General features: G+C 54.0%; 1 protein-coding gene and 1 non-coding gene across 5 annotated transcripts in view, besides 13 other annotated features; both read left to right on the top strand.

Moving 5' to 3' along the window:
- Window positions 2088-2919: an enhancer, noted in NCBI's record as "NANOG-H3K27ac hESC enhancer chr19:40791573-40792404 (GRCh37/hg19 assembly coordinates)". NCBI's record gives its function as "activates a minimal SCP1, AML or CMV promoter by ChIP-STARR-seq in primed H9 embryonic stem cells {active_cell/tissue: H9 hESC(primed)}" and the evidence as "EXISTENCE:reporter gene assay evidence [ECO:0000049][PMID:30033119]".
- Window positions 3206-3705: a silencer, noted in NCBI's record as "silent region_10619". NCBI's record gives its function as "represses an Ori minimal core promoter by ATAC-STARR-seq in GM12878 lymphoblastoid cells {active_cell/tissue: GM12878}" and the evidence as "EXISTENCE:reporter gene assay evidence [ECO:0000049][PMID:35858748]".
- Window positions 3240-23790, top strand: part of AKT2 (AKT serine/threonine kinase 2) — a 55029-nt gene continuing 34478 nt past the window's right edge. Inside the window, exons 1-2 of one of the 4 annotated variants that reach the window (NM_001243027.3) lie at window positions 3240-3404; window positions 23234-23326. Coding sequence is in view for 2 of the 4 variants with exons in the window: in NM_001626.6 (NP_001617.1) it covers window positions 23318-23363 (46 nt within the window). In the remaining 2 variants the exon portion in view is untranslated. Of the gene's footprint in view, window positions 3405-23233; window positions 23364-23790 lie in introns of those variants that run through there. The other 3 variants (NM_001626.6, NM_001243028.3, NM_001330511.1) reach the window with 3 other exon arrangements.
- Window positions 4076-4215: an enhancer, noted in NCBI's record as "active region_14647". NCBI's record gives its function as "activates an Ori minimal core promoter by ATAC-STARR-seq in GM12878 lymphoblastoid cells {active_cell/tissue: GM12878}" and the evidence as "EXISTENCE:reporter gene assay evidence [ECO:0000049][PMID:35858748]".
- On the top strand, window positions 5944-6042 carry MIR641 (microRNA 641). The gene has a single exon (NR_030371.1). It is a non-coding gene; the product is annotated as a microRNA 641 (primary transcript).
- Window positions 7837-7956: an enhancer, noted in NCBI's record as "active region_14646". NCBI's record gives its function as "activates an Ori minimal core promoter by ATAC-STARR-seq in GM12878 lymphoblastoid cells {active_cell/tissue: GM12878}" and the evidence as "EXISTENCE:reporter gene assay evidence [ECO:0000049][PMID:35858748]".
- Window positions 7997-8046: an enhancer, noted in NCBI's record as "active region_14645". NCBI's record gives its function as "activates an Ori minimal core promoter by ATAC-STARR-seq in GM12878 lymphoblastoid cells {active_cell/tissue: GM12878}" and the evidence as "EXISTENCE:reporter gene assay evidence [ECO:0000049][PMID:35858748]".
- Window positions 13277-13336: an enhancer, noted in NCBI's record as "active region_14644". NCBI's record gives its function as "activates an Ori minimal core promoter by ATAC-STARR-seq in GM12878 lymphoblastoid cells {active_cell/tissue: GM12878}" and the evidence as "EXISTENCE:reporter gene assay evidence [ECO:0000049][PMID:35858748]".
- Window positions 13357-13426: an enhancer, noted in NCBI's record as "active region_14643". NCBI's record gives its function as "activates an Ori minimal core promoter by ATAC-STARR-seq in GM12878 lymphoblastoid cells {active_cell/tissue: GM12878}" and the evidence as "EXISTENCE:reporter gene assay evidence [ECO:0000049][PMID:35858748]".
- Window positions 13937-14016: an enhancer, noted in NCBI's record as "active region_14642". NCBI's record gives its function as "activates an Ori minimal core promoter by ATAC-STARR-seq in GM12878 lymphoblastoid cells {active_cell/tissue: GM12878}" and the evidence as "EXISTENCE:reporter gene assay evidence [ECO:0000049][PMID:35858748]".
- Window positions 19330-20178: an enhancer, noted in NCBI's record as "H3K27ac-H3K4me1 hESC enhancer chr19:40774314-40775162 (GRCh37/hg19 assembly coordinates)". NCBI's record gives its function as "activates a minimal SCP1, AML or CMV promoter by ChIP-STARR-seq in primed H9 embryonic stem cells {active_cell/tissue: H9 hESC(primed)}" and the evidence as "EXISTENCE:reporter gene assay evidence [ECO:0000049][PMID:30033119]".
- Window positions 20179-21028: an enhancer, noted in NCBI's record as "OCT4-H3K27ac-H3K4me1 hESC enhancer chr19:40773464-40774313 (GRCh37/hg19 assembly coordinates)". NCBI's record gives its function as "activates a minimal SCP1, AML or CMV promoter by ChIP-STARR-seq in naive H9 embryonic stem cells {active_cell/tissue: H9 hESC(naive)}" and the evidence as "EXISTENCE:reporter gene assay evidence [ECO:0000049][PMID:30033119]".
- Window positions 20179-21143: a biological region, named in NCBI's record as "Sharpr-MPRA regulatory region 4564".
- Window positions 20849-21143: a silencer, noted in NCBI's record as "tiled region #4564; HepG2 Repressive non-DNase unmatched - State 19:H4K20, and K562 Repressive DNase matched - State 5:Enh". NCBI's record gives its function as "represses a minimal TATA promoter and a strong SV40 promoter by Sharpr-MPRA in HepG2 and K562 cells {active_cell/tissue: HepG2 | K562}" and the evidence as "EXISTENCE:reporter gene assay evidence [ECO:0000049][PMID:27701403]".
- Window positions 22726-23704: an enhancer, noted in NCBI's record as "H3K27ac-H3K4me1 hESC enhancer chr19:40770788-40771766 (GRCh37/hg19 assembly coordinates)". NCBI's record gives its function as "activates a minimal SCP1, AML or CMV promoter by ChIP-STARR-seq in naive H9 embryonic stem cells {active_cell/tissue: H9 hESC(naive)}" and the evidence as "EXISTENCE:reporter gene assay evidence [ECO:0000049][PMID:30033119]".

Genomic DNA, 23790 nt, shown 5'->3' with positions numbered 1-23790 from the left:
CTGTAACAATTGCTAAATAAATTATATTATTACTGTCTTAATAGAATAAAGAAAGGCAAGCTCAGAGAAGTGAAGTGACTTTGACAAGGACACAGAAAAGATACGATTAGAACCTGGGCCTACTCATCATCAATGCTAAAAAGTGTTGTTTACCTCCTAGACTAATGTTTTACAAACTACAAGGCACAACCAGAAAATCAGTTCAGCAGGGTTGCGGAATTGAAATAAATAGTATATTAAGGGCTGGGCGTGGTGGCTCATGTCTGTAATCCCAGCACTTTGAGAGGCCAAGGTGGGCAGATCACCTGAGGTCAGGAGTTCGAGACCAGCCTGACCAACATGGAGAAACACCATCTCTACTAAAAATACAAAATTAGCCAGGCGTGGTGGTGCATGCCTGTAATACCAGCTACTTGGGAGGCTGAGGCAGGAGAATCGCTTGAACCCAGGAGGCGGAGGTTGTGGTGAGCCGAGATCGTGCTATTGTACTCCAGCCTGGGCAACAAGAACAAAACTCAGACTCAAAAATAAATAAATAAATAAAAATACAAAAATTAGCCAGGTGTGGTGGTGCACGCCTGTAATCCCTCTACTCAGGAGGCTGAGGCAGGAGAATCACTTGAACCTAGGAGGCGGAGGTTTCAGTGAGCCGAGATGGCGGATGGCACCACTGCACTCCAGCCTGGGAGACAGAGTGAGACTGTGTCAAAAAAAAAAAAAAAAAAAAAGAATATTAGGCCAAGTGCGGTGGCTCACATCTCTAATCCCAGTTCTTTGGGAGGCTAAGGTGGGTGGATCGCCTCAGCTCAGGAGTCTGAGACCAGTCTGGGCAACATGGCGAAACTCCGTCTCTACCAAAAATACAAAAAAATTAGCTGGGCATAGTGGCGCACATCTGTGGTCCCAGTACTTGGGAGGCCGAAGTGGGAGGATCGCTTGAGCATGGGAGGTGTCGGTTGCAGTGAACTGAGATTGTGCCACTGCATTTCAACCTCGGTGACGGAGGGGGTGAAACCCTGTCTCAAAAAAACAATAAAAAACCAAAACCAGAAAGAGCCGGGTGCAGTGGCTCACACCTGTTATCCCGGCACTTTGGGAGGCCAAGGCAGGTGGATCACGAGGTCAAGAGATGGAGACTATCCTGGCCAACATGGTGAAACCCCCTCTCTACTAAAAATACAAAAAAATTAGCTGGGCGTGTTGGCGCGTGCCTGTAATCCCAGCTACTCAGGAGGCCGAGGCAGGAGAATCGCTTGAACCTGGGAGGCAGAGGGCAGAGGTTGCAGTGAGCCAAGATCTCGCCACTGCACTCCAGCCTGGCGATGCAGTGAGTCTCAAAAAAAAAAAAAAAAAAAAAGAGAAAGCCACTGCCCTTGACTACCAGTGCTGCAAGGAGTTTATACACAAGCACATGGGTGGTTTCAGTGAGATCTCAGTGTGTCATAATTAAGTGCCCTAGGAGGGGCTAGGATTCAAGTTGGCCCAGGGGAGACTTAGACGTAGGGGAATGGCCTGTGAGCTGTTCAGTGTGGACAGGAGTGAAGAGGGTTGGTCACAGTAACCTTGAGTCTAGATTAGGGCAGAAGGGCTAATGCTTGAAACAAACATTCTGCAAGAGCCCACTCTGGGCAATGTTGGATACACACTGATCTCTGAGACAGTCTTGGTCTCTTCCTTTACTGTGTTTCCTGTGCAGTGGGGGAAACAGACCTGTCACCAGACAGTAATAGATGAAAATGGTTAGGGCTGTGAAGGGGGAGGCATTGGTCAGAGTTATTAACACCGACTGATGGGGAAGACCGGGAATTAGGAATACCAAGCAGCAAGTTCCAAGCTAGAAACCAAATAAGAAAGGGCTAGTTCCAGCATTAGGTTTACGTCTCAGAAAACGAAAGCCGAACCCTCAGCAGGATTTGCCTGAAACACTCTCACAGACTGAGGTGGACCCAGGATTCAACTCTCAGTCAGGCATTTTTCTCACTTACCAATGCATACAATTGCCAAGTTATATGGCATACTGGAACCCAAATTCAGGAGGCAGCACAATCCCCTATGAGAGAGGAGGGGCTGGGAGCCAGATGTCTCACAGCTGTCCAGTATACTAGCTAATATACGGATTAGGATCTGTGCAAAGCTCTTTTCTTGCAGGGTCATTTTTTTTCTTTTTTCTTTCTTTTCTTTTTTTTTTTTTTTTTTGAGACGGAGACTTGCACTGTCGCCCGGGCCGGAGTGCAATGGCATGATCTCGGCTCACTGAAACCTCTGCCTCCCGGGTTCACGCGATTCTCCTGCCTCAAGCCTCCCAAGTAGTTGGGATTACAGGCACACACCGACATGCCCGGCTTTTTTTTTTTTTTTTGTATTTTGAGTAGAGACGGGGTTTCACTATGTTGGCCAGGCTGTCTCGAACTCCTGACCTCATGATCCGTCTGCCTTGGCCTCCCCAAGTGCTAGGATTACAGGAGTGAGCCACCGCGCCCGGCCGCAGGGTGATTTTAAGGCCTTTATGGGCCCAAGTTGCATTATAAAATGTTATATCCCAGATTCACTGGAATATGTACGATGAGAGCAGGTGGCATTAATATCTTGCAGTAATGAACTAATTGGTAAAAACCGTTTTGTTTACATTAAAATGGTTCAAAAGCCAGCGACACAGCGATGATTGTTTCCATTTAGCAGATGTGGATACTGAGGCACAGAAAACGGTCAAGCCTTCTGCCCACAGTCACCAGAAAGGAGGAAATTCAAGTCTGGGGTTGTGTGGCTTCAGAGCCTGAGCTCAACCATGACGAGCACACTGAAAAGGAAACCCCTCCTAACTAACTCCCGCTCCGGGGTCCTTTAAGAGCGTCAGAACCCAGAACTGAGTAAAACAAGATCAAAGCGTATGTAAATACGGACTAGGGGCTGCCGGGAAATAATCACTACGGCTAGGCCCTAGGGAAAGCAGACGTCGGAGTCCTAGTGCGCCTGCGTAGCCCCATCTCGCCTTTCCGCCCCACGGCCTAGCGAGGCCCATCTCTAACCCACACAGGCCCAAAGTTGTCTAATGTGCGCAGGCGCCCTGCTGTGAGCCCGCCTCCTTCTCTGCCCTGCTCTTGCGCTCTCGCTCTCTCAGAGTTCGTCTCTGGCTCTTTGTACGTCACTTCCTGTTTGTGGCGCGAGAGGGCGGTATTTCCGTCCAGAGGGTGGGAGGGGGCGGTAAGCGGGGGCTGGGGGGAGGGGGCGGGGGGGGCCGCGCCGTGCTAGCCGTTGGGCCTGCCTCGGAGGAGGCGTCGCCGCCGCCGCTGCCGCTGCCGGCGCCGTTGCCGCTGCCGGGAAACACAAGGAAAGGGAACCAGCGCAGCGTGGCGATGGGCGGGGGTAGAGCCCCGCCGGAGAGGCTGGGCGGCTGCCGGTGACAGGTGAGTGCGCCAGCGCGTGTCCCCGAACGCCCCCCCCACGATGGTCGCGTCCGGGCCCCCCGCGGTGCCGCGATGGGCTGTACCACCCGTGCCCGGCGGGGGGACCGCGGCCCTCGAGCCCCTCCTTCAGGAGCTGAGTGGGGGTGGCCGAGCGGGGGCGGTGGGACCAGCCTCGGGGGGCCGGGGCGGTGGCGGCGGGCCATACCACTGAGGCGGTGGGGGGAGCGCTGCAAGTTTGCGGGACGGGGAGCGCAGGCCGCAGCGTGCGCGGGCCGGGGGCTGGACCTTTCGGGCGCGGCGGGCAGATCGAGCCTGGCGTGCGCGGGCTAAGCTATCGAGGGGGCGCGCCGCATCAAGTGTAGAGGGCTGTACCTTTTTGGCGCTGTGGAAGCCGTTGCTGTGCTGTATTTACAGGGGTGGGGGCTTCTGGGGAGGATGCTTCCCCAACTGTGGCTGGGTTATATCACCACGGCGTTGGGGGAGCCCTGCTTAGAACGTAGGGGAACCCAAATCAGAGGACTGTGATGTTTGTGATCTTTAAGGGACTGGGACGGGGCGGGACAGGCCCTAGTGGGTTTTAGGGGCGTATTTTGGGAGGACTGTGATGCCGATTGGTGAGGAGGGGTTTCTGTTTCCTGTATTTGACGTGTGTGGCGTTGGGGGTTTACACTGATCTCAGCCTTTATTGAACTTCTTAACGACTCTGGAGGGAACGTCATGGTTACTGGGGTGCTTTGGACCATGGAGGTGCTGCTCTGGATTCCATTACCCTCTCAGATTATTTACCAGGCAGTAACAGTTCTTTCCTTCCATAGGGGAGGGAGGAAAGCTGTGTTAGAAGTCACTGAAGTTGTCTGAGCCTTAACATTCTGAAGAGGAAGAGGGATTGGGCTTGGATTTGAGGAGCCGTGCCCCTGCACCCGCTTGTTAAAACTTGGGAGGAAGGAGTGTTTGGGGGAACACCTCTTCCCCCCAGGGAAGCTCTCTGGGGGCATCTTGATCTTGGGATTGTGAGGACCTCTTCCTCTCATTTGGAGACCTCTTGGGGCTCAGCAAGACGCCTGGGCTGGAGTAACTAGAGCCTCCAATGGGCTGCTTTTCAACTTCATCCACTCCTACCTTCCCAGAGAAGCAGCAGGAGTTCACTCGTGGGCTGAACTTGGTTGGCAGTGGATGTGAAGGGTCCAGGAACCAACGCAGACCACTACATGCTCCTCTGTCGCTGGCCACGAAGCTGTTTGTGTCTCCCAGTTACCAGCTCGGTCACACATCATGTTTACACTCCCCACCAAGGCAGTAACAGTTGGCCTTGCAGTGAGGCCGGGAGCTGTTTTCCCAGCTGTTCCTCTTTGCATAGGCCAAGGGGACTTGGAGTGGGGGTGCCCCTGGCCCAGCCTGGCCCAGGGAGGAAGGCTGCTCTGAAGGGCTTGGGACAGTCAGATCCCCCATGGATCTGGTGTCTTATTGTGGTCTGTGGGCTGGTGCTGGGAGCAGCCAGCCCCAGAGGTCTGTGGCCAGTGTCCCTGCTCCCTAGGCCAGATCATGACCTTGGCTTGCCCTGTAGCCTTTGCTCTGGGTCTGGAGTTCCCAGAGGACTGGCTGCAGTCCCTGATTGACCCAGCAGACCTGGGCTGGTGATGTGGTCAGAGGGGGCAGATGGTTGCCCCTAGTCCGCAGCAGTGACTTCCAAGCTGACTGGCTTCCGTGGCTCGTGGTTCCTGGAGAGAAAGGTCCCACAGTCTGTGAGGCAGCGGCGACTCTGTAGAATCTTTCTCCACTAGGGGTTTGTTCCTCTGGTCCTCTCCTGCCAGCTTTTAGAGGGTTTGCCTGATGGGGCTAACAGTGGCAGTGAAAACAGTAATCATGAAATTGATGGCTGACAGTAACTGAGTGCATTCTGTGGGCCACACACTGTTTGGAATGCTTCATATAGATAAACTTGCTGAATACTTGAATTCTAGAGCGGTAGGCGCTGTTGTTATGCTCTCCCTTTTAGATGAGAAAACAGCATCTCAGAGAGGCAGATCATTTCCAGAGCTAGTGGATGCCCAGTGTTTATAGCATTCACCCCATGCCAGGCGTGTGACAGGGCTTTTGTACATGTGATCTCACTTAAGTCTCAAAACATACCTGTGGTTAGGCCTATTTTATGGAGAGCTACGAGCTAGTTAGAAGTGTGATACCATTTTACAGATGAGGAATCATTTCACTCACTGTGAAGTGCAAAGATTTCCCAGAGGTCTCATAGCTGAAGTGGGAGAGGTGTGATGTGAGCCCTTGGCCAACCTTGGCCTCAGATCGTCTTGTCAAGGAGAAACTGGAGGAGTGGCTTTTGTCTGTGAGCATATACTCTGCCCAGCCCTGTGCTTTGGGCTTTATATGGTATTTGTGTCCTTTTTTGCAGAGTCCGAAATTGAAGTTCAGAGGAAGAATTGCCTTCCACCGCATCTTATCAGACCCTATGGGTGCCAGGGTAGGATTTGAACCCAGGTCACTGAGCCCCTAGTGCCATGCATTCCTTGCTCACCAGGTTCCAGGCTGGGTGAAAGGAAGGAAAGACATAGGATAGAGTCACCTCTGTCCTCTGTCCTCTACCTATAGAGGTGACTGTCCTATGTCTTTCCTTCCTCTTACCCCTGAGCCTCAGGCTGCCCTGAGCATCTCTGCCTACAGCCAGTCCAGCATTTCTTGGTCCCTCCTCAGAGTGGAGGCAAGGCATCCTTTAACCCTGGGCAGGTGTGTGCTGGGAGAAGAAGACAGCAAGAGAGCCATGCAGGGGGTGACACAGCTACCAGGGACCTGCGTTAGCTAGCAGCAGGACGGTGAAGTCGGTTCTAGCTCTGCGACCTTGGACCACACTGTTCACTCCCATACAGTGGTCTCAGAAGGACGTCCACCTTGGGCTGTTGTGAGGATTAAATGAATTAATCCACGAGAAGCTCCTAGAATGGTGCCTGGTACTGTGTAAGTCTTGGTTGGCAGTCATGATTATGTTATGGAACGGAGGCATCCAGCCTCCCCCACCCCCTACTTTTGGTCCCCTCGAGCATTCCGGGATCCAGCTCCCCAGCCTGGCCCAGCTAGGATCCAGAACTTCAATGTTCTGGTTTCCAGCCTCTGTAAAGAGGTGTATGGAAGCGAGTGAGAGCACAGGGTTCAAATCCAGCCGTGCCACTCCATGGCTGTGTGACCTTGAGCAGGCTCCCCAACCCTTGTGAGCTCATTTCATCATCGGTGCCATGGGGATGATGATAATTCCCACCTGATAGGATTATTGTGAAGGCTGAGTGGATTAATTTGTGGGAAGCATTCATAACTGTTCTGGCATACAATAAGCCTACCGGAAATGTCTCCTCACTAAGAACAGTGCCCGACACATGGTGAGCTGTTGGTCTGTCTTAGCAATTGTAATTCTTAGTATTTCTGCCGGGACTTTGAAGGCCTTTGCCAGTTCACAGAACCGTGTCAGAGAGCACTAGGAGGAGATCAGGGCTGAAATTAGCATCTCAGTTTTACAGATGCAGAAACAGAGGTCGGGGGAGACATGCAATCAAGTCAGAACTGACAAGGGCAGCTCCCGGGCCCACTCCTCTTCCACGCAGTGGCTTTGCAGCCCTGAGCGCCTCCAAGGTAGACACACTGGAGTCTTTTCAGAGGTCAGGCTCTGTGCTTGTTTTTTTTTTTCTTTTGAGACAGGGCCTCCCTCTGTCACCCAGGCTGGAGTGCAGTGGTGTGATCACAGCTCACTGCAGGCTTGACCTCCTAGGCTTTAGTGATCCTTCCACCTCATCCTCTTGAGTAGCTGGGACTACAGGTGCATGCCACCATGCCTAGCTAATTTTTAAATTTTTTGTGGAAACGGGAGTCTCGCTATGTTGCTCAGGCTAGTCTTGAACTCCTGGGCTCAAGTGATCCTCCTGCCTCAGTCTCCTGAGTAGCTGGGACCGTAGGTGCATGCCACTGCCCCTGGTTCCCAGCCCACCACAGCTCACAGCTCTGGGAGTGGCAGGAAGGCTGGGCCTGGGCAGGGGGAGCAGCAGAAGTGCCTGCAGGGGTTGGCAGGGGCTGTGCTGCACTGGCCTGTGGGCCTGGGTGAGAGGTGAGGATGGATCCTAAGGGTATTGTGGAGCCGAGGAAAAGGTTTCACTCATCCGCCACCATTTACTGAACACCTCGTATGTGCCAGCGTTGCATCAGTACTGGGAATACAGCAGTGTACTTGCCAAAGTCCCTATCCTTGTGGGGCTAAGCAAGACCAACCCGAAACAGGTTAATAAGCAAGGAGCCGGTTAGAGGGGGAGGAGCTAGGCAGCGAATTCAAATCAGGTGACAGACTGGGCACTTCTTTAGATGCATGCGGCTGTGGGGAGGGCCTCTGAGCTGATCCCAGTTTGGCAAGGTGAGGCAGTCATGTGGGATGGGAGGAGAAGGAACAGCCCTCCAGGTGGAGGGAACCACAGTGCAAAGGTCTGAAGGGAGGACAGAGCTTGGTGAGGTGCAGGGACAAGCCTCACGGAGGCCTGTGTGGCTTGGCAGAGCGAGGGAGCAGGGAGGAGATGAGTCCTGGGGCTGCGGGGCAGGCAGGGCCCTTTCACTGGGAGCCTTGTGGACTGTCTGTGAAGGAGTTTGGAATTTCAGCAGGAACAGCCTGGTCAGATTCAGGGTGTTAGCAGGTGACCCAGGAGCCGGTCACAGGCTCCTGCCTGGGGGCGTGGGTAGATTTGACTGAGCGGAGCAGGGCGTTTCACAGGCCTCCCACTTCCCCTCCAGTAGCATCACTGCCTTACAGCCAGCAAAGGCCTGAGGGTTGCCTCCCTCCTGTGGTTTTCACACCGTGTTCTCCAGAGCCCGTGGCTGTTACTTTTAGGGAAAGAGGAGGGGAGGCTCATTGGGCTGATTTCTCTGCCCATTCCTCCCCAACCCAACCAGCCGGACTAATACTGAATAGCAACGCAGGGCAGCAGTCACACCTGATACAGACAGCACCCGCTGACCCTGCGTCCACGCTGCCGTGGGCCTGTAGGCCTGCGCCATTCCCAGTGCTCCTCTGGAATTGGAAAGACCAGGGCTTGTGACTGGCGCCCAGCACCCAGGTCTCTGGTTGGGCTCAGGTGTGGTTGATATTACGAAGGCAAAATAAATGAGGGCCAGGTTGAGAGTGTGGGCATGTTTCTCCACTATAGCTGGGTGATCAGGGAGGACCTCCCTGAGGAGGTGACGTGTGGGTAGGGACTGGAGTGCTGTGAGGGAGCCATGGGAGGATCTGGGTGAAGACCCATTAGACCCAGGAGGAATCTTCTCTGATTCCCGCTTTACAAGTGGTGAGAACTGAAGCCTGGAGAGCCTCTGTAGCTTGTGCTGAGTCCCCCAACCAGGAAGTGTTGGGGACAGGCTATGAATCTGGGCTTCCAGAGATTCCCCCACCACAGCTCAGTAGCCCCTGGTGAGTGTGACTTCTGATCCCACCCATGGGCTCACCCCTAAGGCTTGGTGCGGGAGCAGGCGCTCTGGCTTTTTTTTTTTTTTTTGAGGTGTGTTCCAGGGTATCTTCCTAGAAGGAGCAGAACCCCTCAGAACAAACCACTAGGGTCTCCAGAAGGCCCCCGGGATGGGTTGGGATGGAAAGGAGTGTCTTTCAGACTTGAGCTCCAAGCCCCTGGAGGACCCAGGGTCACCCCTCCCCGGGCCTCTCTTCAGCTTCCCAGAGCTCTCAGCGGAAGGCCCTCAACCACAGGCCTCCGGGCCGCACGGTGGGGTGGTTCCATGGCAGGCTCTTCTGGACAGCCAGCCAAGCAGCGAGAGGCCCAGCTGGGGGAGACAGCCTGGGAGCAGGACCAGGAGGGAGGGAGTGAGTGTGGGAGGGGCGCTGGGTGGGAGCTCAGCCTGGCCCCCTTGGGGCAGGACCCACTGCCAACTCGGCACCCACAGCAGGGCCCAGGTGCTCTGACTGTGCCGAGCGAGGGACAGCAAGCCGGGTCGGCCAAGAGGAGACTGCATGTCAGAGGTCCCAGCAGGAGTTTCTTCAGCCCAGCCGTCCTGCTGGAGAAGCTCGTTCGCAGATGTTGTTTCTAAGGGTGAGGCCAGAAACCCAAGTCTTCCTCGGTTTGCCACTTTGTGGGCCCTTTCCGAATGGGCTGGGGCAGTTGCCGCTCCCCGGTTCTCTTCTCCAGCCTGGCTTCAAGTTCTTCATGGTCTGGTGGGTTTTTGGTGTACACTTACCCAGCTGGGGCTGCTGAGTGACCTGGTCCCGGGGGTAGCTGACGTGGGTGAGAACCCTGCTCTTGGCACCCCTCTCGGTGGCTGTGGAGCTCTGGGGCCTTATTTCTTCTCCCTAAGGTGCATTTTGCTCAGCTGTAAACGGGAACCTTCCTGCTGAGTGGGGCGGTGGGGAGGATGCACGGAGCTGCTGCGTTGGAAAGCACAGGCCTCCTGAGGAGGCGGCGGGATGAATTTGGGCTGATGCTACTCCTGGTGATTGCCAGACAGGACTGAGGGCACCTGAGAGCACAGAAGGGGCTCTGCAGGGCAGTGGGCACAGGCTCGTTGTTGGTCCTTGGGAGAGAGTGGTAGGGCCTGTTAGCTGATGGGAGGGCTCCAGACAGGAATGTGAATCACTCCCACCACTGTACTCCTGCCCAACCAGACGCTGCATATTAGCTCTACAAACCTGCACAGCAGCCTGGGAGGTGGGCAGTGTTAGCACTCCCATCTCGTAGATAGGAAACTGAGGCCCAGGAAGCCACATAGAATATTGGGGTCATTCTCGTGAGTAGTTCGCCTCTCAGTGCTGGGCACTGCTGCAGAGCTTAAGGTGTCTGCTCTCACTCATCCTCACCACAGCCTGGCAGCTCGCTGTCCCGATCGTCCCCGTTGTACAGGGGAGGAAACGGGCATAGAGAGGTTATTGGATTTGCTGGAAGTCAGTAATAGGCATGATGGTTGAACCCTGCTCTGTCGGCGAAGCTGCCTTTTGAAGACAGCCTCATCTTCTTGCCCTGCCTGCTATGACTGGAGTTGTCACTGTTGTCATCATGATTTCTTTTCTGCTTTCTCTTCTCCTAGACAGAGCTGGCACAAAGTAGGCCTCAGTAATCCAGAAATGACTCCATTCCATGCCTGCTTGGGATGTGGGGTGTGGCTGCTTCTCTCCACCCCCAATACCATGACCTTGGCCCCTCCCAAGGGGGGCCCAGGGGGAAGAGATGAGGATGGGAGGCACCCCCTCCCCACTGCCCTAGGGGCCTGATTGCTGAACAGCCTCAGGAGCCAGCCTTTGGCTGTTCTTGGTCATTTGTGTGTTCCATCTGTCTCCAAATATTGATTGAATCACTTCTATGTGCCACGTGTAGTTCTGGATGCGATCGGAGGTGGCAGAGAGGTTGCATTGGCCTGTGAGTGCTTGGTGTGGCTGAAGGAGGGAACAGAGATCTAGCTGGACTGGGTGGGAGAGGGGCTTGGGAAGGCTGCTGAGGAGCCCCTGTGATGTGAGAGCCCGAGGAAGTGGGCTGGACGGGGTGCAGCCAGGTAAAGGCCGCAAGGAAGGCGATATCTGGATGTGCTGGTGGAACAGCAGGCCCATGTAGCTGGAGCCGGGGGAGTGGGTGAGGGGGAGAGAGCAGGGTGGCAGGGCTCAGGGCCTGGGCTATGATGGGGATCCAGGGCTTTATCCCCAAAGAGAAGGGACACAGGTGGGTGGGGAGGGACCTGTGTGGGAGAGAGCTGGCTGGATTCAGGTGGCAGCCAGGGATGGAGAAAGCAGACCATATTCTGCTTTGGAGACAGGGCGCCCTAGAGCCCAGCTTCTCAAACTGGTGTCCGAAGGCCTTGGCGGGTGGGAGGAGGTGTCTGCAGGGCATTGACTCTTTTTAGCTGTGTGTTTTCATTTAGATGATATTTTCAAAAAGTTAGTAGGGGCATGTTGGAAATTATTGGGATGATTCCTTTAGAACCAAGTAGTGACAGCAGTAACATTAGCTGCCACTGCATGGCTCTGACAGGCTCAGGACGGCCCCTGATGTCAGAGTCCTTTATGTAATTGCCACCTATTTTTCAAGCACTGGCCCTGTCCCCAGCTGTGTGTGAAGCCATCTCATTGGGTCCCCAGGACAACCCATGGTTATCAGAAAAATCATCTTTTTAAATTTTTCATTATTTTTTTGAGACAGGGTCTGGCTCTGTCACCCAGGCTGGAATGCAGTGGCACCATCATGGCTGATTGCAGCCTTGACCTCACTGGCTCAAGTGGTCCTCCCACCTCAGCCTTCTGAGTAGCTGGGACTACAGGCATGCACCATCATACCTGGCTAATTTTTTTAAAACAATTTTCAGTAGAGATGGGAGTCTCCCTATTTTGCTCAGGCTGATCTTGAACTTTTGGGCTCCAGTGATCCACATCCCTCAGCCTCCCAAAGTGCTGGGATTACAGGCGTGAATCACTGCACCTGGCCTGCAAAAATTATCTTTTGAGATAACATAAACATGTGCTTGGGCAGATTGGTGTTAAGATTCCATTCTACAGGCTGGGCACGGTGGTTCACACCTGTAATCCCAGCACTTTGGGAGGCCGAGGAGGGTGGATCACGAGGTCAGGAGTTCAGTACCAGCCTGGCCAAGATGGTGAAACCCTGTCTGTACTAAAAATACAAAAATTAGCCAGGTGTGGTGGTGGGTGCCTATAATCCTAGCTATTCGGGAGGTTGAGACAGGAGAATTGCTTGAACCTGGGAAGCAGAGGTTGCAGTGAGCCAAGATCGCACTACTGCACTCCAGCCTGGCGACAGAGTGAGACTCTGTCTCAAAAAAAAAAAAAAAAAAAAAAAAAAAAAAAAAAAAAAAGATTCCATTTTACAGATGCGGAAGCTGAGGTTCAGAGAAGTGACCTGTGTAGCCTGGAAGTGGTAGAGTCAGGATTTGAGTTGACTAGAGGTGTGAGTTTGGGCCTGAGTCCTGCTCCAATTCCCCAGGTAAGCTGCGTTGGGGTGCGGGAGAGATGGGGTATAGCATGGGAGCTTCCAGCCGCACTGGGATGATCTGGCTCCTCTTGGGCCTGTGAGAGTCACATCCCTGCCTCCTGCCTTTAAGCTCCCGGTGCTTAATTAGCAGGAATTCTATAGAATTGCACTCCAGAATGGTAGCTACTAGCCATGTATGGACTTTTTTTTTTTTTTTTGAGACGGAGTCTTGCTCTGTCACCCAGGCTGGAGTGCAGTGGTGTGATCTTGTCTCACTACAACCGCCGCCTCCCGGGTTCAAGCGATTCTCTGCCTCAGCCTCCCGAGTAGCTGGGATTACAGGCGCCTACCACCACGCCTGGCTAATTTTTGTATTTTTAGTAGAGACAGGGTTTCACCATCTTGGCCAGGCTGGTCTTGAACTCCTGACCTTGTGATCGCCCCCCGCCCACCCCCCCCCCCCCCAGCCTCCCAAAGTGCTGGGATTACAGGCGTGAGTCATCGTGCCCGGACTCACATATGGCTTTTTAAGTTTTAATTAATTACAATTAAAGAAAAGTAAAAAGTCAGTTCTTTAGTTGCACTAGCCATCATTCAAACATTTAGTAACCACATTTCTGTCGTTATGGAAAGGTCTGTGGGCTAGTTCTGCTCTGGTTGCGGTCCCTCTCCTGCACCTACTCGCTGTGACTGTGTGCATGTGGCTCTCTCCCTGGGCCTCAGTTTTCCCATGTGAGGAACGGGGATAGTAACACAGGCTGGCTGTGAAGATGAACATTAATCCATGCCTGGTGCTTTGTGAGTGCTCACTGAGTATTAGCCTTGATGCAGACCCACTGGTTTCTCCTTTTGCCACTGGGCCCTGCCCTGGAGCTCCCAGGGAGGTGGTGGCGATGCAGAGCGACGTGGGTCAGGGATTCCCCATGCAGTCCAACTGGAGGGCTCCCGTGCATGCGTGCACATCAGGGGCGGTAAGGAAGGGCTGGCCGGGGTGTGGGAGGAGGCGACACAAGATGGGAGGTGGCCCTGTCTCTTGGGAGCAAAGGCAGAAGGAGGTGGAGGCAGCTCAGGGCTCGGAGGAGAGGGGTCCGGGCTCCTTGGCTGTGTCCCTGCTGTCTCTCGCTGTGGGTATTCACCGAATCTCTCCCATCCTCGGTTTTCACATCTGCTGCATGCAGGTCCTCATGGTTCTCAAGTGAGGCAGGTGGTGAGCCCATCAGGCCAGTGCCCAGGGCTTATTCTGGGGACAGCTCCTGGAGAGGAAGGGCTGCCTCCCTAAGGACTCCTGCCCTGCCCTGGGTGCAAGGGGTTCCACCTGCTGCCCCTCCCCCACTCCCCAGCTCGCCTCAGGCGGATAGTTCCCCTCTCACTCCAAATAAGAGCCACAATGCTGACAGTGGCCCCCAAGGCCCTGCCCAGCGGTCCCCAGCTTCCTCTAGCTACATCTCCCGGCCCTCCCCTTCACCCACTCCTGTAGGCGCCTCGAACGCGCCTCAGCCCTGCTCCTCCCCTGCCTGCAGCGTTCCTCCCCAGGTCTCCCCCGGCTCTCTCACCTGCTTCCGGTTTTGCTCAGACTGCGCTGCCTCAGTGCGCCCTTCTGTCACCATCCTGTGTATAGTCGGAAACCCCTGCTCCCTTTCCCTGCACTGAATCTTCCGTGTGCTCCTTTTCTCCATGGCATTTGTTAGCTTTGGCTATCCTGTCTAATTTGCGTATGTATTTATTTTTTATTTTGCTGCCTGTTCCCTCATTCCCCCAACTCCCCAATGGCAGGGAGTTCTGTTTTGGTCACTGCTGAATCCCTGGTGACCCGAGCAGTGATGATGCAGAGTTGTTGTGATATTTGTGGAATGAATGAATGCAGGATTTTTTGTTTTACCTTCACTTGGCACAAATGCTGTGGTTCTGTTCACCACTCCCCCCTGAAGTAATGAAAGTTATGGGCCCATCCCTGTGCTGAGTGGAGCTGGGGACACAGTGGGGGCTAGGACAGACTGTATCCCTGCCTTGTGGAACCCACAGTCCAGTGGGAGAGGCGACATTACCCACATAGTCATGCAGGTGACAGAGGCAAGTGCTGTGAGGGGAAGGGAAGGCTGAGCTCTGAGAGTCCGCTGCTCGTGGGAGAGGGGTGGTCAGGGAAGGCCTCCGTGAAGAAGATGGGTGAACAGAGTGCCAGGCAAGGGGTACAGCATGTGCAAAGGTCTTGGGGTGTGAGAGCAGGGAGTCTTCATGGGGCCAGGAGAAGGGGAGATTGTGTGTTGGAGCGAGCAGACCAGTGAGGCTGGAGAGCAGGCGGGGCCAAGGCAGATGGCCCCTGGCAGCCTCCATAGGGGCCTTGGACGTGATCCATGGGCACTAGGGAGAGGTCCTGAGCAGGGGAGGGACAGGGTCAGAACTGCGTGGAGGATCCCGCTGGTTGCAGCATGGAGCCCTCAGAGTGTATGGAGCCCGTGGCCAAGCAGACTAGAATATTTGACATGATTTCTGTGGGTGCTGTAAGGCCCTGGGTGGCGTGAGGGGGAAGGTGTGTGTGTGGGGTGGCAGGGAGGAGAAGGAATCTGCTCTGTGCTTATTCTTGTCCCCGTTTCTTTTGCAGCCTGCCCACGGCTTCAACCTGCCTCCAGCCCCACCTGCTCCAAGCAGACAGATGGGGCGAGTGTAGGGAGTGTGTTTAAAAGAAAAAAGAAACAAAAAGTCTCTCTCTTTTTTTTTTTTGAAGTACCCAGACCTTTTCAGGAAAAAAAAAAAAAAGTTTCTTCAGTGCCACCTTCTCACCAAGGAGGTAGAATAGGTAAAAATTCACCTGTTCAGAAACATACAGTATAGAAAGTGAAGTTTCCCATGTCTCCACCCATCAGAGGAAATAATAATTTTTTTTTTTTTTTTGAGATGGAGTCTTGCTCTGTCCCTCAGGCTGGAGTGCAGTGGTGCAATCTCTGCTTACTCCAACCTCTGCCTCCCGGGTCCAAGCAATTCTCCTGCCTCAGCCTCCTGAGTAGCTGGAATTACAGGTGCCTGCCACCAGCCCGGCTAATTTTTGAATTTTTAGTAGAGACAGAGTTTCACCATATTGGCCAGGCTGGTCTCGACCTCCTGACCTTGTGATTTGCCCGCCTCGGCCTCCCAAAGTGCTGGGATTACAGTCATGAGCCACCGCGCCTGGCCAGTGATGATAATATTTGATACGTGTTGAGCAGTTGCTCTTACAGGCTCTTTTGGGAGGACTTCATGTGGATTAACTCACTGAACCCTCCAATAGCCTTAGAGATAGGTATATGCAGTTATTATCTCTAATATACAGATGAGGAAACAGAGGTGAAGAAAGGGAACATGACTTGGTGACTTGCCCAAGGTCTCACAGCAGGTGACACAGCCAGGGCTGAAAAGCTGGCATTTGGTTCCTGAGGCTGCCTTGCCTCCCGCACCCACTCTCCTGCCTCTTAGTGTGGCGTATTTCCTTCGGATTTCTTTTTTCTGTGCGTGTGACATTTAAACACATACCTCCCCGTGCCCTGAAGTCTAAGACAGTATGCCCTATAAGGTCCATCATTGATCATATAACTGCTTTTCTGAAAAGAATGCGATAGGTGAGTTTTGTCCATGGATTGCAAGGTACATGCCAATCTCAATGACATCAGCATGTGAAACAATACGCATATTGTAGAATTGAGGTGACAGGGCGTGTGTGTGTGCGTTTCAGAAAAGGCATCCCGCCTGCATTCTGTCGTGCCGCGAGCCTTCGTTAGCGAATGCTGATGGTCCCAGTGTCAGCACAGCAGGGCTGGTTTCTGTGTTTCTGTGCTCAGGATGGCTTGTTGTGTTGTGTGGCCAGACCGTCTCCACGTGCTGGGTGCTGTGCTGAGCCCTTCCCTGCATTAGCCTGTGATGAAAGCGCTGCTGTCTGTCCTTGCAAGGACAGGAGGAAACGGAGGCTTGGGAGTCTAGAAAGTGGGCAAACAAGGACCCCAGTCCAGATCTGCCTAACTCTCAAGGCTGTGTGGCATGGTGTTGTGGGGGAGCCAGGCCGCCTGTACTTCCTGAGATGAAGTCATAGGGCAAGTCATTTCACTTCTGTGCCTCAGTTTCCTCATTGTCATAGAAACAGTAGGAGTGTCTGCCTCAAAGTGTTGCTGTGAGGGTTATATTGGTATGTGCGAAGCACTCAAATGGGCCTGGCACGTGGTATGGGCTATGTGAGCCTTGCTCTTTTTAGTAGAGTCATGATATTAACCAATATATAGCACCAGACCCCTGTTGTGAGCTTTTAGATTGTTGCCAGGTTTCCCTATTTCAGCAGTACATACTTAGGACAGCGGTTGTCAGCTGGTGGTGGTTTTGTACCCCAGGAGACATTTGGTGATGACTGAAGACATGTTTGATTGTCGTAACCAGGGGAAGGTGTTCTGTTGGCTTTAGTGAGTAGAGACCCAGGATGCTGCCAGACCTCTTCAGGGTGCAGAAGAGTCCCCACATCAGGGATTCTCTATCCCCAAATGTCACTAGTGTTGAGGCTGAGAATTCCCAGCTTAGAACTTCTGTGCCCTGGCACTAGCATTTTCTGCAGGAGAAATTCCTCCAAGCACATGTACATTTTCCACTTTATGAGTTTTACCAGAATGTTCTCACAAGACGCTGGGACCAGTTTATAGAGTGGTGAATGGCTGGTGGCAGATGAGGGAGTTGGTTCCCTCACGTCTTGCCCCAGGTGCCTTTCTCCTGAGTTCCCATGAGCAGATGCTGCCTGTTACACCACTAGTTCCTGTTGTCTTTGGGTTTTTTGGTTTTTTTTTTTTTTTTTTTGAGACAGGGTCTGGCTTTGTCACCCAGGCTGGAGTGCAGTGGCACAATCTCAGCTCACTGCAACCTCTACCTCCCAGGCTCAGGTCAACCTCCCACCTCAGCCTCCCAGGTACCTGAAACTACAGGTGCACACCACCACACCTGACTACTATATATATATATATGTATATATACGTGTATATATACATATATATGTGTGTATATATATATATATGTATGTATGTATGTACGTATGTTTTTTTTTTTTTTGGCAGACACAGGGTTTCACCATGTTGCTCAGGCTGGTCTCAAACTCCTGGGTTCAGAGGATCCTCTTGCCTTGGCTTCCCAAAGTGCTGAGATTACAGGTGTGAGCCACCGTGCCCGGCCAGCTTTTTTTGTTTGTTTGTTTGTTTGTTTGTTTGTCTGTTTTTTGAGACACAGTTTTGCTCTGTCTCCCAGGCTGGAGTGTGGTGGTGTAGTCATAGCTCACTGCAGCCTCAACCTCCTGGGCTCAAGCAATCCTCCTGGCTCAGCCTCCCAAGTAGCTGGGACTACAGGTGTGCACCACCACACCTGGCTAATTTTTATATTTTTTGTAGAGATAAGGTCTTGCTATGTTACCAAGGCTGGTCTTGAACTCCTGGTCTTAAGAGATCCTCTTGCCTCAGCCTTCCAAAGTGCTGGGATTACACGCGTGAGCCACCACGTCCAGCTTCCTGTTGTCTTTGAATTTATCTCCTGAGCAAGTCTTCCTCCGGGCGCTGTGGAAAGGCACAGATCTGAGTGCAGGCGACAGAGGCTCCTGAGGGGGTCGCTGCCACCTCCCCAATGAGCCTCCGCAGCACCAGGAAGGAGCCCCACCCACCAGCTCCAGCTCCAAGAGACGCAGATCTCTGCTTCCCCACCTGCCTCCCTAGCCCATCTGTGCTGTCTGGCATCAAAATCAGGTCAGTGAGAGGGGGCGAGAGAAAAAGGACTTAGTAAGTGGCAAGGAAAGGAATTGAGCTTATTTTGAGCCTGTTCTGGGCACAGGGCTTCACTCTGTACATGTTCATTCCACAGATACTTATTAAGTACCCACTCCACTCTGTGCCCAACACCCTACAAAGCTCTGGGGATCCAGCTGTGGCTAAGGCAGCCAAGAGTCCTGCCTTTGTCGTGCTGACATTCCAGTGTGGGTGGTGGGCTGTCAGCGTAAGCAAACACATACAGTAACATCGGTGGTGATGGGTGCTTAGGGGAAAATGAAGGGTAAGGGTAAGGGGAGGTAGGGTGGGCATGCTTTGCCTAGGGAGGTTAGGAAGGCTTCTCAAGAAAGGGACGTGAGCAGAGGCTGAAGAGAGTGGAGAGGGGCCTGAGTTTCCACCTGAGGGTGCAGTGCCTGCAAGGCCCTGAGGTGGGGCGTCCCCATGTATCCTGGCAGCTGAGGGAGCCAGGCACTGCTGAAGTGAAGTGCCCTCAGAGAAGCAAAGGGGGATGTTGCAGGCCGCGTAGGGTCCTGGGGCTGCTTTGGGGATTTTGGCTTTTATGTTGCATGGGAGGGTTCGAGCGGAGAAGGGGTGGGAGCTGACTCAGGTGGTCACGGGGCTCCAGGCTGCAGGAGGGGCGTGGGCAGAGTGCTGACTTCTTTCACTCTATAACATTCTCTCACTCCTTCCCTGCTGTATTCAGCAGCAGTTTAGTCCTTTTCGTTGCTGAGTAGTGTTCTACTGTGGATCTACGTGTTTGTTTATTCATTCTCTTGTGGGTAGACTCCTGGTCTGTTACCAGTTTGGGGTTACTGTGAATATTGCTGCTGTCAACATTGTAGTACAAGTCTTTTGTACATACACTAATTTCCTTGAGACGAATTGCTAGGTCGTGGGATAGGCATATATTGAGCTTTGATTTTGACTGCTTAACAGTTTTCCACAGTAGTTGAACCATTTTGCACCTCCCACCAATAATGAGTAAGGGTTCTGGTTCCTCTACATCCGAGCCAGCAGTTGGCCTTGTCAGTTTTTAAAATTCGAGCCATCCCAGGTAGGTGGTTATGATTTGCATTTGCCTGTAACTAATGAGATTATGTATGTTTCTTGGTTGTGTGGGTGTCCTCTCCTGTGAGGTGCTCTTGCTCTTTTTACCTTGTCTTGAGTCAACAGCTGCAGCTCTGGCCCAGGCACTCAGAAGACTCATGCCCAGGAACCTTAGGAAGTAATGAGTGTGGTGGGGCCGTGCAGGGACTCCCCTCCGCAGGGCGTGCTATGGGGGTTCCATAGGCGAGTCTCTGTCCCCCTGCCTGAGTGTCCTCCATTGGCAGCCCCCCGAGTGATCAGGCCATCTTTTTTTTTTGAGATGTAGTTTCGCTCTTGTTGCCCAGGCTGGAGTGCAATGGCGCGATCTTGGCTCTCCACAACCTCCACCTCCCGGGTTCAAGCGATTCTCCTGCCTCAGCCTCCCAAGTAGCATGTGCCACCACGCCCAGCTAATTTTCTGTTTTCAGTGGAGACAAGATTTCTCCATATTGGTCAGGCTGGTCTCGAACTCCCGACCTCAGGTGATCCGCCCACCTCAGCCTCCCAAAGTGCTGGGATTACAGGCGTGAGCCACCGTGCCCGGCCTAAGCCAGCCATCTTCTTGGCTGCAGTGGCTGGTATTTCATCACCACAGGACTGCGTCACGGACACCTCAGCTGAGGCACCACCCTCAGTGGGAGGACAGGGCAGGATCCAGGCGGGACGCAGGGGATCTTCCAACTCCTCCCCCTGCTCTCCCTCCAGCTGTGCTGACTCCTTAGTTGCTGAGATGAGCTTGTAAAAAGCAGCTCTGTTGATCCCAGCAGCGGCCAGGGCCTCCGCTGCTTCTCGGCTGGGAGACCCGAGGTAAACAGCTTCCCTTCTCTCAGCTTCTGTCCTCATCTGGGCATGGTCACTGACTGTCTGGTGGGGTGTTGGGAGCATTCAGGAGAGACTCCATGGGAGCGCCGGCACCCTGCCCAAGGCCACCCAGCTGGCGGTGGCTCTTGGACTCTGGAACCCAGACCACTCTTGGCCATACCTGGCTGCCTTTGCTTCTCTCTGGAATAATGGCAGCCATGTGTTTGGCTGTTCACTGGGCGCCAGGCAGTAGGCCGAGCCCTGGGCCCACAGTGGGTACTTTAGTGCTGCTGCATTACAAGGGCCCTGAGAGGCGATGTCCCTGGGCCGCTGTGGGCCAGCGAGAGGGGAGATGAGACATGGAGCCCCTGTTCTATTCCCTCCACATCAGCCCCTCCTTTGGACTCTGAGTTCTCCCTCCCAGCCATTTGGGAAGTATTTTGAACTGAGCTTGCATCAGGGAAGGTGTGGTGTAGGTCCGTGTAGGGGACGGGCTTCTCTCAGTCCCAGCCATAGCCCAGAAGGCCCTTGGTGTTCTCCCCTGTCCACCTCTCTCGTGTTTCTCCTCACCAGGCCCCCTCCTGCCTCAGGTCCTTGCATTTTCTGTTCCCCTGCTGAAATACATTTCCTCATGTGTTACACAGCTCACTCCCTCAGTTAACTCGGGTGTCTGCTCGCAAGTCCCGCACACCAAGCTAACATCCTGTTCTTCCACTCTCCAGCCTCCCCACCACCTGATTATTTGCATATTCGTGTATTTTTCTGCCCCTCACACCAGACTGTGAGCCTCATGAAGGCAGGGCTGTGTCTTAGTGACATTCTGTTGCTGGTACCATCCGGGGTCTAGGATGCACCCCAAAAAAGATTGGTGTCATGAAGAGAGTCTGGTAGTGTGTCCCTGGCTGTGTGTGGTCCTGGGGTGGGGGTCAGTTGGGGACACTTGGCCTCTTTCTTCATGTGCTCATTAGATAAGACGCTTTGCTGGTCTACTGCATTAGCGTTAATAGGTGTTGGGAGGGTTGCTCCGAGGGTGCACAAAGAGCACACAGTGCAGCCTCTGAGGTGGGGAAGGCTTCCTGGAGGAGGCACTGGTTTAGCTGAGACCTCAAGGAAGAGAGAGAAGAACGCCCAGAAGGAGGTGCTGTCCCTGATGGAGGCCAGAGGGAAGGGCTTGAGTGACAGAAGCATAACATGGAGAGTCAGGTAGGGCGGAGAGGCTGGAGAGGTGCAATAGTCAACGTCATGGTCCTTAGCCTTTCCCGAGGGCTTTCTAGGTGCACGTCTCAGCTCATGCACCTGGAACGCAGGGCAGCAGAGGCGAGGTCCTGAAGGGCCTTGGATCCTCAGCTGAGGAGTTTGGCTTTTTTGCTGGGAACACCAGGGAGCCACAAAGGTTCTGAGCAGGAGAAAGACAGGTTCAGCGTTGGGGATCCCTCTAGCTGCTGAATGTGGGGTGAGTGGGAGGGAGCAAGAGTGGAGCGTAGGAACTCGGGGAAGAGGTGGGGGCAGATGGGGGCAGACCTGACTAGAGCCAGGCCGCGGGCAGGATGGGGAGAGATGGTCACGTTAGAGGTTGACACACAGAACAGTGGGAGATACAGAAATACATACATATTTATATATTTTTTGAGACAGGGTCTCATTCTGTCACCTAAGCTGGAGTGCAGTGGTGCAATCAAGGCTCACTGCAGCCTGGACCTCCCAGGCTCGAGTGATCCTCCTGTCTCGAATAGCTGACATTACAGGTGCACAGCACCATGCCTGGCTAATTTTTTAATTTTTAATTTTTTTGTAGAAAAAAATTAGGTCGTGAGACAAGTTCTCACTACGTTGCCCAGGCAGGTCTCAAACTCCTAGGCTCAAGGGATTCTCCTGCTTTGACCTCCCAAAGTGTTGGGATTACAGACATGAGCCATTGTGCCCGGCCGAGATGTGGGGATGCTGAGGATTGAGAGTCTGGCAGTCCTGTGTGCTTGGGTTGTGGGGTGCCGGGCATGTTGCTGGCAAGGGGAGCCCCTTATTGCTGCTCCCAGCCTCGCATCATTGCCTTTGCAGCTTGGAGCCCAGAATGTGATTTCTCACCCTCTTGTTTACTTCCCTGTCATGTCCATCTTGTCTTTCCTCCCGCTTCCTACCACTTACCTCCCTTCTTTCTGCCGGGACCTGGGCAGCCTGCCACTGTCACATGCCAGGCAGTAGCGTGTCCGGCCCACCAGCTCCCCTGGGGCACGAGAGAAAGCTGATGCCCATGGTGTCCCTAGAGCCAGCTGCCACTTCTCTGGGCGCCACCGTAGCTCCCGACCTGCTGTCCGCAAATAACCCCAGGCTGGGAAAGGCAAAGGCGCCTTGGTCTCTGTGGACCCTGGCCAGGCCCCAGGCTCCAGGTAGGGGCCCAGCTGGCGCTGCCTCGCGCCCTCCTCCCCTCCGTTCTGGGAACCTGAGACGAAGCAGTGGCCTCGGCGTCCCTCAGTCTGTTGGTTGCTGGTCCCTGAGGACAGAAGTGAAGGTCTTGGGGTAGGGATCAGGGCCTCGGTCAAGCCCCCAGGACTGGCTTCTAGGCCCCAGACCGTGCATACGCAGTAGGTTGCTTTCTTGTTCAAGATCCCGGATTGTCTGAGACCTGTCTTTTCTCTGTCATCTGATGGGGGGAGGGAGGCCGCTGAGGCTCAGGGAATGGCATGGGATGGCATGGGGGGACGGGAGTGTGCTTAGTTTGTTGAAGGTGGCAGGTTGGTGGCTTCCTGGTTTGGAAAGAAGGGAGAGGGGAGAGAGAGAAAAGAGTGTGTGTGTGTAAGATGGTGGAGGGACAGGCAGATGCTGGTGGCTCTGCGCATTCCCTCAGGTACCCTGGGCTGCCTCATTCATACTGGGTTACCTCAGTGTTGGGCCATGGGAATGACACGGGGAGGGCAGGGCACGGCTACCTTGATGCTTGCTCAGTCAGGAGTGACTGTGGGTGGAGGGGCCACCTCCCCCCAGCATGGGTGTCCTGAGTTTGGGGTCTGGCCTGCGCTTAGGCCGGGGAGCTCTGCTTCCCCCAGATTGGGGTCGCTGGGGACATTGCCACATCTCTCTGCTCAGAATGGGTCCTTGAGAGCGGGCTCCACGCCACCCTTGCTGGCCTTACCCTTTGCTGAGTGGGCAGAACAGCCAGAGGGCCTCAGAGCCCGGCGTCCTCAGGGAAGGGGCTGGTGTGGAATCCCCTCCCGCCCTGACCAGCTCCTCTCTTGTCTTGCAGACTGTGCCCTGTCCACGGTGCCTCCTGCATGTCCTGCTGCCCTGAGCTGTCCCGAGCTAGGTGACAGCGTACCACGCTGCCACCATGAATGAGGTGTCTGTCATCAAAGAAGGCTGGCTCCACAAGCGTGGTAAGAGGCCGCTTTTGCCCGCCAGATTCTTTCTCCCACGCTGGCTCCTCCTGGAAAGCTGTGCCCTGAGAGGCAGAGGCGGAGGGTCTTACCAGCCTGAGGAGCCAGCATTCCGCAGCCCCAGGCCCACAGCTGCTTATGCCCCCATTTCGTGGACTCCTTCAGTGGTCATCTGGGCAGGAGAGCAGGGATCTGACTGTGCATGAGTGATCTCATTCATAGCCCCATTTTATAGATGAAGAAACTGAGGCCCAGAGAGGGGAAGTCACGTCACTGAACTAACACAGTGAGGCAGTATTCAGCATTCATTCAGTTAGCAAGTATTCATTGACTGTGTGCTGTGCCGGATAGCCCCGGGCTCCGAGACACAGTGGTCCCCTGATGGAGCTTACATTCCAGTGGGGGTGGGGCAGGCAGTAAATAAGTA

Source organism: Homo sapiens, chromosome 19 (genome assembly GCF_000001405.40).
Source record: "Homo sapiens chromosome 19, GRCh38.p14 Primary Assembly".
Taxonomy (NCBI): Eukaryota; Metazoa; Chordata; class Mammalia; order Primates; family Hominidae; genus Homo; species Homo sapiens.
Note: the sequence above shows the minus strand (reverse complement) of the source record. Positions and strands in the feature narration are given on the sequence as shown.